Genomic DNA, 16,312 nt, shown 5'->3' with positions numbered 1-16,312 from the left:
CCTAGTCTGTTCAATGGGAATTAAGTACTTGCCCTGTCATCTTTTGTACCTATTGTCATTAAGGCTATGCAGTCCATGACTTAATTTCTCCTTTTGGATTTTTAATTAAGATACAACTTTATATTTGGATGTGAACATTGTAAAAGCAGGAAAAATCAAAAGGTAAGTATCCTAAGGGCAGTAACAGTCTCTACATCTCATCTATAATGTATCACTGTTGAAGGCTAGAGACAAAAGTAATTAAAAAGAACCTCATTGATCCACACAGACCAGGAAACATCTATCTAAAACTTAAAATTCTAATAACTAGATAATTAAAAATTATTTCTGAAATTATATAGTACATCTTCCTATTTAAGATGTAAGAAAGAAGAAAACTCAATTTTGGAAAGGTAAAAATGATCTGCTCAAAGACACAACGTGTCAGTGGTAGAGTCGGAGCTGATTCCGTGTACAATGCATTACAAGGTAGTGCAATGGATTGAATGTTGTGTCTTCCTCAAAATTCATTCCTTGAAATCTTAATCCTCAATGTGACAGTATTAGTAGGTAGGGCCTTTGGGAGGGAATTAGGACATAAGGGTGGAGCCCTCATAAATGGAATTACCACCCTTATAAAAGGGACCCTCCTGCCTTCTTTCCATCATACAACAAGCATAAAACAAGAAAATGTCAGTCTTTAACAAAGAAGAGGGCCCTCACCAGAAGCTAATTATGCTGGCAACCTAATTTCAGACTTCTAGCCTCCAGAACTGTGAGAAATAAATTTCTGTTGCTGATAGGTCACCCAGTCTATAGTATTTTGTTATAGCAGCCCAAGCTGACTAAGGCACAGCGTGGAGGCTAAAGCAACTCCATCTTGCACGATAATCTGCCATGCTGACTTCTGATTAACCCCAGTTTCAGGAATGCCTCTAAAATTTCTACTTTATCTACTGTTAAGAGCAGTACTTACCATAAATCCTGCCCTTAAGCAAATTACTTCAATTGTCTTGCAAATTCCTTCTGAAGCATATATAATCTTTCACAATGGTATGGTGGGGGTAGGGGGTGGTAATGGTGCAGGGATTCACCATCTTGTCTTGCCAACACCAAGGTATGGCTTCTGTTTGTAAGTCCCTATTAATTGTTTGAGAAACTAGATTTGTCAGCCTTTTTCTTTGGCCTCTCAGTTTCCTCTTTGGGATTAAGTTTGCATAGACCTGCTCACCGTGAAATACACAGGGTCTCCTGATATCTGATTTAGCACCCTTTCCAGGGATAACAAGCAAATGGTCTGTCATAGCCACTTTCAAATCCAAGATAAAAGTCACTAATCTTTCCCTTGGGTTACATGAACCCAAGCTTTATGTAGCAATCATTCTGAACTGAATGTCCCAGGGAGCCACTTCTAATTGATCAGATTTGAAAGGCAACTCTATTTTATGTCATATTTTCATGTATACAGAACTGCAGCAAGTGGAGGGGAAGCAGCTGCTTCTTTCAGCATATTCTCCAAAAGTCACAAATTTTCAGGAATTTGGGGAAGGTACATGTTGGCAAAATGTTTGATAAACTGATGAAATTGCGTTCTAGCAGAAATCCCCAACCCTCAGGCCATGGACCAGGATCAGTCCATGGCCTGTTAGGAAAAAGCCACACAGCAGGAGGTGAACAGCAGCTAAGTGAGCAAAGCTTCATCTGTATTTACAGCCCCTCCCCATCGCTGGCATTATGGCCTGAGCTTCTCCCCCTGCCAGATCAGCGGCAGCGTTAGATTTTCAGGGGAGCACGAACCCTATTGTGAACTGCACATGTGAGAGATCTAGATTGTGTGCCCTTCATGAGAATCTAGTGCCTGATAATCTGTCATTGTCTCCCATCACCCCCAGATGGGACCGTCTAGTTGCAGGAAAACAAGCTCAGGGCTCCCACTGATTGTACATTATGATGAGTTGTAAAATTATTTCATTATATATTACAATGTAATAATAATAGGAATGCACTTGAATCATCCTAAAACCATCCCCCCCGTACCCAGTCTGTGGAAAAACTGTCTTCCACAAAACTAGTCCCTGGTCACAAAAAGGTTGGGGACCACTGTGCTAGAGGAAACAAGCGCAGTAGAAATTAGGAGACTGCAGGAAAGAATTACCCAGCAGGCCTAATTGCTATCCCTTGAAAAGCCTGCTTACAACTTTGGCCCTTGACTGGCATCTGGAAACTTGGATATCAGAAGTGTTCCCATTATTCTTAGAACTTGAAGGAGTGGGCTCACTGTGCCTAAACTGATTGCATAAACAATATAGTTTATGCTGAATACTTGCTTTTCTTCTGAGAGTCTGGAATTTTGGTACATGCCAGGCAGAGGGTGCCTCCCTGACCACTCCCCAGTAAAAATCTTGGGTGCAGAGCCTCTAAGAAGTTTCACTGGTTAACATTTCACATTTGATGTCACAAATCATTGCTGGAGGAATTAAGTGCTTCCTGTTTGACTCCGCTAGAAGGCTCTGGAAGTTTGTGCCTGGTTTCCCCATACACCCTTTCTTTTCACTGTAATGGCTCATAACATGAGGATGACTATATGCTGGGTCTGGTGAGTCCACCTAGCAAATCATCAAACTTCGGGGTGTTATTGGGGCCCTCCTGACAAAGATACATTTAAAGAAGAACAAAAAAAAACAGTTCTAGTAGTGCAGACTCCTCCAGACGACTACCTCATGATGTTAAAAATCAGCTAGGAACAGTAGTAACTGGATGAAAATATTTCTCCATGAGCAGATTAACAAACAAGAAAAACTAGTTGCATATTTACTGAAATCCTAATACAGCTGTACCTCTTAAAGGAGTCTATTATATTAAAAATTTTCCATTGCAAAAAAAGAATTCAAGAAAATGATCCCCAGAGTTTAAAAAGATACCTCAAATATTAACAGATATTTATGATATTAATAAAACACATCAAAAGTGTAACAGACCCCTGAGATATTAAAAAAGTTTTTACAAAAGATATTTCATGAGATGAAATGACTAAAAAGCAGCTAAATTTTTATGTTCACAGTGCTATATAATATTCATAGTAGTTTAAAAATAAAGTTGTATTTTTTTAAGTCAAGGTTTTTGTGGCATGTAGGTCAACTATTTCGTGTAGGTCAATGATTAAGAAAATCGAGTTTTTATTATTAGAGTAAAAAGGCCGAAACAGAATGCATAATTTGTAACATGTTTTAATCATTATTAATATTCTAACAAATATAAAAATACACAGCTTTAAATGTTGTTTTTGTATAGCAATTACATGTTGTCATATAATAAAAATATATTTCTGTAAAAATGTAGCTGGGCACGGTGGCTCAAGCCTGTAATCCCAGCACTTTGGGAGGCCAAGGAGGGAGGACTGCTTGAAGCAAGGAGATCAAGACAAGCCTGAACAATTCATGGTGAGACCGCATCTCTATAAAACATTAAAAAGAAATTGGTGAAGCATGATTATGTGTACCTGTAGTCCTAGCTACACAGAAGGCTGAGGTGGGAGGATTGCTTGAGCCCAGGAGTTTGAGGCTGCAGTAAGCCATGATTGTGCCACTGCACTCCAACCTGGGTGACAAAGCAAGACTCTGTTTCTAGAAAAAAAAAAATGTATTTTAAAATCTACTAAAATTATCCAATGTCTGACTCTTTGCATTTCAAGAACACATATTCTTAAAAACTGAGCTTCACAGCTTGCTCTCCTTAATGTAAATTATTTCCTGAGGGAAATAATACACAATTCTATAAGTTGTGTATTAAGAAGGACAACTGCTAGATTTTAAAGCCAGATCAATATTTTCCAACGTTGTTTATTTTTTTTTAAACCAAGAGAATGCATTCTTTTCTTCTTAAGAAACACGTCAAAATGTTTTTCACAATGAAAGGAAGCAAGCAAAAGAAAAAAAAAAGTTACCTCTTTTTCTGATGATATTAAATATTCAAATGGGAAAGATTAATACGTCGAAAATCTAAGGCAAAAGAACAGAACTGCTACACATACTTGCTAAAGATGTGTAAAAATTCAGCATCAGTCTCCTAGATATCCAGGATCTTTACTCATATAAGGATAAAACAAGAGTAGATAGTAAACTCATTTAGGTGGCAAATCATTCCACTTCCCATCATGGCCCACGACAGGGAATAGAATAATGAGCAGTTTGAGGTTAGGGCTCAGTTCACACAAAGATTCCTTTTCCTGACATCTAAACTGAATGTAATCACCCAGCACTTTAAATTCGTGTGATATTAAAAGAAAAGTTATGGTTTTACACCAACATCTATATCTGTATGTATGAATTCTAACCATTATAGATAGTACTAGAAGAAACACACTCACGTGCGCGCACACACACACACACACACACACACACACACACACGGAGGATAAGGCTTCTCTCTAAGCATATACCAAAAGCAAATAACATCGATGGGGTGGTGGAAAACACAACCCCCAAATACAGCACGTCAGAAATTGAGAAAATAGCGGAAACAGGAAGGTCACACTATGACCTCTCACACTTTTCCTCTGAGAACTGGCCGTAAAAGAATTATCTGACCTGAAAGTAGGTAGTAAGATCCTCATTCTAGAGAAGTCATCCCCTATACCCAGAAGGATGGAATGGCTTATAGAAAGGCCAAGAAGAATCTGAACAAAGAGGTCTTGCTCAGTTCCTCCCCAGTTTATTACCATCAGATCACACCCTTTTGTCCTCCAATCATACTTCTGCACAACTGTTCAAAAAACTGAATTTTTGGCCAGGCGCGGAGGCTCATGCCTGTAATCCCAGCACTTTGGGAGGCCAAGGCCGGCGGACCACCAGAGGTCAGGAGTTGGAAATCAGCCTGGCCAACATGGCGAAACCCCTTCTCTACTAAAAATACAAAAATTAGTGGGGTGTGGTGGTGGGCGCCTGTAATCCCGGCTACTCGGGAGACTGAGGCAGGAGAATCGCTTGAATCCAGGAGGCGGAGGTTGCAGTGGGCCAAGATCGCGCCATTGCACTCCAGGCTGGGCGACAAGAGTGAGACTCTCTCAAAAAAATAATAATAATTTCCCCGTGGCTTTGGGTCTGTCTGAAGATTTCAGTGTCTCATAAAACTTATATTAAATAAATTTGTTATGCTTTTCTCTTTTTGCTCTGTGTTTCCTTATAGAGGTATCAGCCATGAAACTTGCAATGAGTAAGGAAAAGATACTATTTTTTCTCCCTGCTATGGTCTGAATATTTGCGTCCTCCCAAAATTCATATGTAGAAAGCTAATCTCCAGTGCAACAATAATAAGAGCTGGGCCTTTAGTAGGTGACTAGGTCATGAGGGCAGAGCCCTAATGAATGGGATTATACCCTTGTAAAAAGAAACTCAAAGGAGATTGTTTGCCCCTTCCACTATGTGAAGAAACATAGAAGAACACCATCTATGAGAAATGGGACTTCACAAGACACAGAATCTTCTGGCTACTTGATCTGGACCTTCCCAGCCTCTAGAACTGTGAGTAAAAATTTCGATTGTTTATAAATTGCCCAGTCTAAAATATTTTGCCCCAAATTTACTAAGACAATTCCCTACAACATAAAGGAAAAAAATTATTGGTATATATGACTACAAAAAATTTTTTGAATTGCATACCATAAATACAGAAGTGTGAACTGGTACAATCTTTTATGGAGAAAAGTACAACAATACTTTAAAACACCCTCACAAATGTACATATTTTTTAATTTATCAGTACTATTTCTATGAAATTATTTTAAATGAATAATAAATGACATGCTTCATAGATTTTTTTTAAAAACTGTCACATTTTAACAATGGAGGAAACATTAAAAGGTGGGAAAGAAGAAAGGAAGGAGGGGAGAAAAGGAAGGAGAAAGAGTAAAGAAAAGGCAGGGAAGGGGAGGGCAGTGAAGAGAAGGGAAGGGAAGAAAAAGAGAAAGGGGTGTCGATGTTCAACAATAAGCACTTAGATAAATTGTATAATTCATTTCACAGTATATTTATTAAATTTCACCATTAAACTGTTATAAATGAATATTTAATAATATTGAAAAATATTCATGATCTATTACTACCTTTAAAAAATCAAGTTACAAAACCATTAAAGATATGATACTATTTTGTTTATGTATAAAGCTTTTATTAAAGGCTAAGTACACATAATGGGTGGTGGAAGAATGGTTAATTTTTCATTTTTTTCTTTTGTTTTCTAGACAAAATATAAATATTTTAAAAGATATTTATAAAATATAATGTGAGCATTATCCAAAGACAAAAGGCTAGTAGTCACATCCGATTGTATAATTTCATCAACAATGTCAGTTCTGACTTCTTTAAAACAGAAATTTCTACTTTACCTAGAAACTATGACATGGAGAACATTATTAGCTAGATTAAAATGACCACATTTAGCTAACAGTTTATATTATGCTTCAAGATAGAATTACCTAACACTCATCTGAAAGCAGCACCTTTAAATGTAAAACAAAAAATTACCCATTACTAAAATGAATGTACAATGGAAAGCCCAGACTGTTCATTTCCTGAATTAATCACAAGAAATGGAAAACGACTCTAACTCCAAACCACATATACTCAACTTTTTCAAGAATTTTTTCATTCCCAGATGAAATCAAGGGAAGAATTTTTCTTCTTAATGTGCTACTTGAAGTACCATGCAGCTAAGTGTCCTAGATGAAGATATATACATCAAATGTTAAAGATGATTATAACTCATTAAATCTAATTCCCACCTAAACATAAGTGGAATGAATTAAGACATGGAACTAAGTTTTTCACTGTCTAAATTTAATGAACGCACATGCATTTACATTAAGCATCAATATAAAGCAACATTATCTTGCTTAATTATTTTTTCTTATAATAAATTTTAGCACATTGTTGAGAACTCATTATAGTCCATAATTCCTTTAAGAACAAAAATGCAGTTTTGCATAGCTTAAGCTTATAAGAAACCTATGGTCACTTCCAGTTTTCTTCCGCATAAACTATTAACACCTTTTAGGAGTTTAATTGACCAAATATACAAATCCAGATTTGTTTGGTTTTGCTTTCTTACACATGTCATTGCACTTATGCTTCTAATTATTATAACATTTGCCATTTAATACATTTTTATCTCTCCTACTCCCAAGTTTAAAATCTATAAAAGCAAGGAATTTGTCTTGCTAATTTTGCATTTCCAACAACATCTACTTTTAAACATAAAACTTTTCCTATAAGTGCTGAATGAAATAGAATTTAGTTCACTTAGGTAAAACCTGATATATAAAACCCATAGTCAAAAACAACAGTGGAGACACAAAAGTCCACCATTTATTAATCTCATCATCTTTAGCAAAACACAACCTCTTTGGACTTAAAGTTTATAACGTGTAACATATGTCTATAGTCACCTATCTTGCCCCCACTGGTGCCTCAACTAATTAAAGCATGTTAAAAAACACTCAGGAAACTATAAATCACTGTGCAATTACAAGGAATTATTCGGTGCTAACTCCATACATTATTGATTTTTTTTTTTTTTTTTTTTTTTTTTTTTGAGGCAGGGTCTCACTCTGCTGCCCATGCTGGAGCTCAGTGGCACGATCTCACCTCACTGCAGCCTCAACCTTCAGGGCTCAAATGATCCTCCCACCTCAGCCTTCCGAGTAGCTGGGACTACAGGCCTGTGCCACCACATCCAGCTAATTTTGGTATTTTTTTGCAGAGACAGGATTTCGCCATGTTTCCCAGGCTGGTCTCAAACTCCTGCACTCAGGCAATAGGCCTGCCTCAGCCTCCCAAAGTGCTGAGACTAAAGGCATAAGCCACCACACCCGGCCTATTATTGATTTGTAGTAAAAACTAAATTAATACCTGGTTTCTAGGAATTTATTTGTCAATCTAACTAAAAATTTTAGGCCAAATAGATATGTTTGTCATTAAGAATGTGAAATTAAAAACTATTAATGAAAAACTGATATTTCTTGTATAAAGAGCAGAAATTCTAATACTAGACAATTAGGTTCACATTTCTACTTCATCATTTACTAGTCATGTCAATTAATCTCCCTGAGCATTACCTTCCTGAATTGTATATAGGAGATGCCAACAATAATAAGATCCTTCTCTGAGCTTTCGGAAAGATTATATACGTTATATTTGAAAGTGTTCCAACGATTGGAAGACAATATAGAAAATTTGCTATTATTATTGTCTTACATAGTTAATTATTATAGATTATTGGTATTCATAATAGCCTTCACTAATACGATTAGTATCCACAAGGCACTAGAATGTTGTATGTATATTTTTATGAATCTTCAAAACAACTGTAAAAGAGGAATATTATTCTCATTCTACATAGAAAAAAACTGAAGCTCAAACACTTAAGAAACTTCTCCAAGTATACATAAATGTAGCAGTGGCAGAATTTGACCCGAGGACCGTGGATACCAAAGCCAATGTTCCTTCCACCACATCAGCCTTTCAAAATAGATTTCAGGTATCTTCCACTGAATATCAATAAAACTCAGCATGAAAAAGCTAACCAGTTTTCTATTTCCTGTTATATTAAATGGAAAATATTAGTATGTGTTACACATTAACCTCAATATGCAATTGATTTCATAAAACACATTAAAACTCTTAAGTGGCAAACTACCTTATTAGGATATTAGTTATTAGTAAACTGCTTAAAACATTGCTTTCTGATCACGAAATAATATAGTAGTTAACAGTTGATCTGGATGCAGTAGCATGTGCTCTCTTAGCCTCCACTACACTCAAGAAGCACATGACTTTTGTCAGTCTGAAACATGCCTTTTAGTAAGGCTACACCTGATTCTAACATTCTAACAACTATATCCAGCTCTTTCTCATGAACCATTTTATTTAAAATGATGTGATGGGTTTAAATAAATAACATTTTTCTAATATAAACAATTATCTGAATAACTTATGTGAGGAATATGTACAAAGTCCACAATATCTGGTAATATATTAGCCATACACTAACCATAGAGTAGCTTGGGGGATGTTTTTACAGGGGATGCCTTATATGTGCTACATTAGCAAACAAAAACTTGGTAGTATCAAATAAAGCACCAACAGAAAACTGAATGAACTTATTTGCATTTAAACACAAGAGCAGAGTGAAAAAATTTAGACTGCTATCTCATCAAAAACAAAGAAAGCATATAATGTTTAAAATGCACAGGGATAGCTTTAGAAGATATACCTGATGCTAAATGACGAGTTAATGGGTGCAGCACACCAGCATGGCACATGTATACATATGTAACTACCCTGCACATTGTGCACATGTACCCTAAAACTTAAAGTATAATAATAATAAAATAAAATAAAATAAAATGCACATACACTATGGAATCCTTTACTATTCAAGGCATGTTTTTAGAAGCAATCCATAGTTAATAGATAAAAATATAGAGAACATATAGCAGTCACTTTATCACATACATTTTATGATTATTTAAAATGCTATAAAATTATTAGATTATTTATTTTAAAAGGAAAATAAGTAAACAACTGCCCCCAAAAGATAAACAACTCAATAAACTTTCCTTTCTGAAACAGAATACTCAGTTGCACATATTGTAAGCATACTTTAAACATTTCCTATAACTAATTATAATTAAAGACTTGGTTGAATCTCTGCCTTTATCCTGGATAAAATATCTAAGATAAAAACCTACCTTGTTTTTAATCGTTTTCTTTATAGAAACTAAATTTCATTTAAATTATTCTTTTCTTCCCTCAGCCTCCTAAAAAACAAAAAAGGAAAAAAAATTGCTTATTTAACAAAGGTGAAATATTCTAGCCTAAAGAAAACAAGTCTGTGGCTTTAATTTAATCACCTCTTTTAACTACGTTGCAGAATAATTATGTTGCAGAATCTTTTAACTATGTTAAAATCACTGTAATTAGTAATTAAGTTACATAAAAATGACTTTACTTAAAAAAAGTCTAGATACTATACCAATATTAATTACAGGTAATCAGGATGATTTTTCCCCATATTTTTTATTCATAAAACCCAGTTACACACCTCTAACTTTTCTCATATATAACATTTGTCACTAGGAAACCTTTTTTATTTTTATTTTGGAAAAAATCTTCATTTTGGTGCATAACTTGAATTATTAATATAAAATAAAATTAAGGTATACACAGAAAAGGCACTACTAAAAATTAACAATTGGATTGCTTTTCATTAACATTTAACCAATCTGAAAATTCAAATAAATATGAACATTACATTTGTAAAACAAAGGCCAAACTTAGTAATAAAACAATATGATCTCAAGAAATTGTCCTGATCTTAGTATAAATAACACTGTTGACAGAGTTCAATTTCTATCAAATGTTTTGGGTATTTTCACAATTTAGACCCAAAGAAAGTATTTTTTTCTTTAAAAGAGACATTGGAAAAAAAAAACAAAAAACCACTGTTATGGAATAAATGCTCCCCATCACCGGAACTGTTTGAGTAGAGGCTGGGTTTTGCAGTAAGAGGGGTTCCTGAGAGATTGGCTATGTGACCTGGATGGGGAGGGGATTCCTCCAGTTTGGGGATACTTCTATTCTAATCCCGGTTGTCAATGACATTTCGGTTTTTAAAAGCCAATGATTACCTAAAATTGCTTTTCCCTTACTTCACAAAAAGTAACATTTTAAAACATCATTACTGAACTTTCAGAGTTAGTGTATGCCATAAAATAAGTAACTGTTTGCCCATGTTCCTCCTAGATTGTGACCTCCCTAAGGATGTTAATTTAGTATCTGACATAGTAAGTTACAATTATTGAATAAACAAATGAGAAAGATTCATTCTATTTATTAAAAAGGATAGATTTGCATATTTAATTGACACCAGGTGATTTTATATCAAGCTATCAGTTCCCAGACTCCAGATAAAATCATTGGCACAGAACTTTGCCATAGGCCAAGGAGTCTACATCTGGCTTGGTCATCCTGCTAAACTATCTGCATTTGATTTTATTTTCTAAGTGATTTCACATATCTTATAACAACTCCATCTCAGCTACTCCAGCTCTTAATATATGTCAGATCTGCTCTGTAGTACTAGGAAACCTTTAACAAATGTTTTAAAAACATGTCAGAAAACAGTTCCATTTTCTTTAAAGTTGCATTGTAAATAAAAATACATAAGTTTAAAACATGCATTAGCAAGCCAGACGTGGTGGCTCACACCTGTAATCCTAGCACTTTGACAGGCTAAAGCAGGTGAAACATTTGAGCCCAGGCATTGGAGGCCCCACTGGGCAACATGTTGAAACCCTGTCTCTACAAAAAATACACAAATTAGCCGGGCATGGTGCTGCATGACTGTAATCCCAGCTACTCGGGAGGCTGAGGTGGAAGGATCAGCTGAGCCCAGAGAGATTGGGGCTGCAGTGAGCTGTGATCGTGCCACTGCACTCTAGCTTGGGCAACAGAGTGAGATCTTGTTTCAAATAATAATAATAATAAAATATATATTAGCAACTTAAATCATATGACAGTTCATAGTCGTGTTTAAGGTATAGAAGATGGGAGAGTCGACTCAGGTAACTGAAGAAAGGAGGCAATAAAAATGATAGGAGTCAGTGCCTTTTCCTAAATTAGAAAATTGTTAATAACAATCCAGTGCAGTAAACAGAGCAATTCTATCCTGTTAGCACCGTTCACAGATGATGATATGAAGGTAGGGAAGAACCAAACAACACTTAGCCTTACTTATTGTCACCAGCAAACTGATGAGATTTTTTTTTCTGTTTTTCTGTCTGTTTTTAAAGACCATATGCTTTTTGTATTTTTAAAGTAATACATACTTTAGAAAATCTAGAAATTGTAGATAAGCATTAGTGAGAACATTTAAATTGTCTATAATTCAATAATGCAGAGACAAAACTATCTGCAGCTTGGTTTATTTTTTTCTAGTTTTTTTTCTGTGCATATGTACATTAATTTGAACCCACTTTATACTGTACTGTGAGTCCAATTCTGCATTCTGTTTTTTCACTTAACACATCAGAAATTCCATATGGTGTGTTATGTACCCTTTAAAAACATAATGTTTAAGAGCTATATAATACTCCATCATACAGTTTCACCAAAATTTATTTAAAGTTCTCCGACTGTATGAATTTAGGCTGTTTCCAATTTTATGTTTACACAGTTCGTAATGAACTAAATGTGGTTTTAACATCTGGTTTCCTTCTTTGGAGAGAACTCTAAAATTAGATGTCTAGATCAGAAGGCAGGAACTTTTTAAAAGCTGTTGATACATACTCCAAATTGCTTTCCAAAAAGATTGCACATATTTACATTTCATTCAGCAATTTATAAAGGTGGTTCCTTTTCACCTCTAGCTTTATGCTGCAAGAACATGATGACATCAATGAGGTACAAATTGGTGAAACATTTTAATTCTTTTGTAATTTACTATTTCAACATTTTGTGAAATGCCATAAGTTGAAAGGCTTCAGAGAACACATCAAAATATGCTCACAATTATGTTAACTTTTCTTTAATCTGAAGTTTAAAGAGCTATAACTCTTCTCACCAAACTATGTCCCAATGTCACTTGACTCAGAACTATTGCTCTAGGAGGATAAAACAAAGATAAAAATATATATAGAAAAATGATATCTTAGGAAGAATGTAGGATTTGGTCATATGGACCTAAGGAATAAAACAGAATGCTGAGAAAGGAAAATGACTTTTATGTGTAGAATGTGAATCCTTATTATTAGGATTCACATTATTATTATTATTCCTTATTATTGGGATTCACATTATTAGGCCCAAAGAGGCATTGAAATGAGAGAGTAATCATGTCCTGCTCACCACCTTCATCTCTTGAAACTTCTTGCTATTGCCACAAGTAGCTATAAATTAACCTACTAATCCCACACAGGACACTATAATCCACATCCTAGAGCTTAACAATGTATAAGCAATCAATACCTTATATTATTTTAATGTAAATTACTGGTAATCAACCCAGAAACTGCCTCTTCATTCCCCTTAAAAATCTACTTGTCACTACTGCTAATCAGAGTGTATATGCAGGACAATTTATGTGACAGTGAATGCCACATAGTTGGTACTCATTTATGCTTATTATCATTTCATGATTATGTTACTGCTATTCTAATTGGGCCAACATGATCTAGAGAAAACTTATAGAAAGAAAATATACACTTTTGAGTCCCACATTATAAAATTAAGTTTGTGAACCAACAAAAACTAATCAATCTAATGAATAATATAATGCCTTACTCTTCTCTTTGAAAATAAAGAGTTAATTTCTAGTTAAATACATCTTTACCTCTTCTCCATCCCCAAATCCAACTAAAATAAGAACTGGGAAATTTCAAAAAAAGTACTACACATGAAGGCAAAGAGAACAGGAAACAAGATACAATATTCAAGAGATTTACATACCTGTAAACCAACCTAGACAACATAGTGAAACCCCATCTCAACAAAAAATTTAAAAATTTGCCAGGTGTGTTGGCACACACCTGTAGTCTCAGCTACTCCAGAGGCTGAGGCGGGAGGATTGCTTGAGCCTAGGAGGTCGAGGATGTAGTAAGCCAAGATCGCTCCACTGCGCTCAAGCATGAACAACAGAGCAAAACTCTGTCTACAAAACAAAACAAAAATAAAAACAAACAACAAAAAACACCTGTCACAAGACAGAAAAAGGGTAAAAGAAGTGTATCTGAATTAGCAGAGCACATGGTACAACGTAAGAGTCTGCAGAGGAAGCCATCAATAAGAAATGTCAGTTTGTATCACAGAACCCCTGGGGGGGTTCAGCAAGTGGCATTACCAGGTATTATGAAAATCAAGGGAAAACTGCAGCAGTTAAGAATAGGACTCCTTGAATGTCTGAATAAGGTCTTCTTCTCTGACTGTAGAACCAGAAGACTGGTCCCTCTTCTCACCTCCTCCAAACAAAAGAGCAGAGGTACATGTCCTAGAAAGGCTGAACCAGAATATCTCAAACTTGGGAATACCAAGTGCAAAGTTAAAACAAGGGAATTAGGTAAAGTTTACATACTGACTTGTGGGAATTTCATACTCTTCCTGTCCCAGATCTACCTTCAATCAATTCCTTCTACCCCTTGAGAAAATATCACCAGATAACTAAAAATGGAAAGGCCTCTCCTCATCATTTCATAGTGAAACCCACCAAAAAACAAATCCTACCTAACAGGTAGCATATAGTTATCAACTCTTAGTGTTTCATTCTTAAAATTAGTATTTAACAATTATTAAATACATGAGAAATGCCTCAACATGAAAAAGACCAAAAAAAACAAGCAGAAAAAAAGGAAAACAGGAAGAAACAGAGACAATGCAGAGAGTAAGATTTCAACAAAATATAAATATATAAAATATATAATTAATAAAACAAAAACAGAATACCATACAATAGGAATAATCACAGAATAAAGATTTCCTAAAAATTATGAAAAAATAATAAAAAATAAAACTAAGGAACTCATCAGAAACAAAAGGAAATGGGAAATCACAAGATATAGAGAGAATATCAGAGAATCAGTACAGGATGGCCAGCATTTTTCCAATAGAAGTTTCAGAAATGAAGACAGAAATCACAGGAAAGAATATCACAATAGTAACAATAAAAATAAAACAAAAAAAATACCAAGCTGAAAGACCAGTTTGAAAAGGCATATAGATATCCAACAAAGTGATCACAAAATTTTCTGAGTAAAGAAGCACCAACCATCAGCATGGACTCCGATTTGTCAAAAGAAATACCACAAGATAACAAAGGCTTTGAAGTTCTGAGAAGCAGCTGCCTATGTTAAATCAAACGATCAATCACACAGGAGAGTAGAATAAAGACATTTCAGGCATGTAAGAAGTCAAAAAACTTTCCCAGGCACCCTTTCCTAGGAAGGTACTGGATGCAGGTAACACAGAATCCTAATACATAAAAGTGTAAAAGAAAAGTTCCAGGACGACAGTTACCTGGCCTAGAAATGACAGTTAAAATTGATGCAAGAGAATAAAGGGATACAACAGGAACATTATCAGGCCCAAAACAAAAACAAAAAAGTTTAGTGAAGCTAAAGGGTTATTTTATGAATTCGACCATTTAAAAAGGTTATTGAGGCAAGGCACAGTGGCTCGTGCCTGTAATCCCAACATTTAGGAGGCCAAGACACGAGGATCATTTGAGCCCAGGATTTCAAGACCAGACTGGACAACATGGCAAGACCTTGTCTCTCCAAAAAGTTTTTTAAAAATTAGTCAGGCATGATGATGCATCCCTGTGGTCCTGGAAACATGGGAGGCTGAGGTGAGAAGATCACTTGAGCCTAGGAGATCAAGGCTGCAGTGGGCCATGTTCATACCACTGCACTTCAGCCTGGGCAACGGAGCTAGACTCTGTCTCAAATAAATAAATAAATAAAAATTGAGGCTAGGTGTGGTGGCTCACATCTGTAATCCCAGCACTTTCGGAGGCTGAGGCAGGCAGATAAGAATGTCAGGAGATCGAGACTCTCCTGGCCAACACGGTGAAACTCCATCTCTACTAAAAATACAAAAATTAGCTGGGTGTGGTGACGCGTGCCTGTAATCCCAGCTACTCGGGAGGCTGAGGCAGGAGAATCGCTGGAACCCTGGAGACGGAGGTTGCAGTGAGTGAGCCAAGATTGCACCACTGCACTCCAGCCTGGCAATGGAGTGAGACTCTGTCTCAAAAAAAAAAAAAAAAAAGAAAACAAAAAAAAAGGAAACAAAGAAAATTAAAAGATTATTGATAGCCATTTAGTATATCTGTGATGGAACATTTGGGAGCAAATAGTGAAAGATTTACTAAAACCTAAACAAAAAAGGAAAGAATTCTAGGACTTTTTTAATGTATGAGAAAGAAAAAAAATCATATGTTTTGGTTCAAACAATATTCACATAGTTATTATAAATATTCACATAGTTATAAATGTAAAAACCACTAATTTAACAAACACATGTGATATAACCTTCTAATTAAAATGAAGGAAAAATATTTGAGATTGCTGGATGTCAGAGCTAGAAAAACAAATTCTCAACCAATAAAACAAGAAGTCAGTGGGTAATATAAACCATTTAAAAATCAAGAAATAACTTTATAAGCATAGAGCTATCAAAAGAAAAAACTGGAACAGTTGGAAATGGTTGCCTCTTAGAAGAAGGACTGGATTGGGGTGGGAAGAATGAGAGAAGTATTGGAGGGTTGCTGGGGTTTTTTGTTTTGT

At 35.3% G+C, this 16,312-nt stretch overlaps 1 protein-coding gene across 11 annotated transcripts in view; it reads right to left on the bottom strand.

The window, feature by feature from the left end:
* The window catches only part of NAALADL2 (N-acetylated alpha-linked acidic dipeptidase like 2), a 1,369,567-nt gene that overhangs the window by 1,250,187 nt on the left and 103,068 nt on the right, over positions 1-16,312 (bottom strand). For 10 of the 11 annotated variants that reach the window (XM_017006077.3, XM_047447876.1, XM_017006075.3 and 7 more), the window contains one exon: positions 9,725-9,793. The exons of the other annotated variant lie outside the window; for it this stretch is intronic. The gene's annotated coding sequence lies outside the window, so the exon portion shown is untranslated. The remainder of the gene's footprint in view (positions 1-9,724; positions 9,794-16,312) is intronic. 11 annotated transcript variants of the gene reach the window in all.

Source organism: Homo sapiens, chromosome 3 (genome assembly GCF_000001405.40).
Source record: "Homo sapiens chromosome 3, GRCh38.p14 Primary Assembly".
NCBI classification, from domain to species: domain Eukaryota; kingdom Metazoa; phylum Chordata; class Mammalia; order Primates; family Hominidae; genus Homo; species Homo sapiens.
Note: the sequence above shows the minus strand (reverse complement) of the source record. Positions and strands in the feature narration are given on the sequence as shown.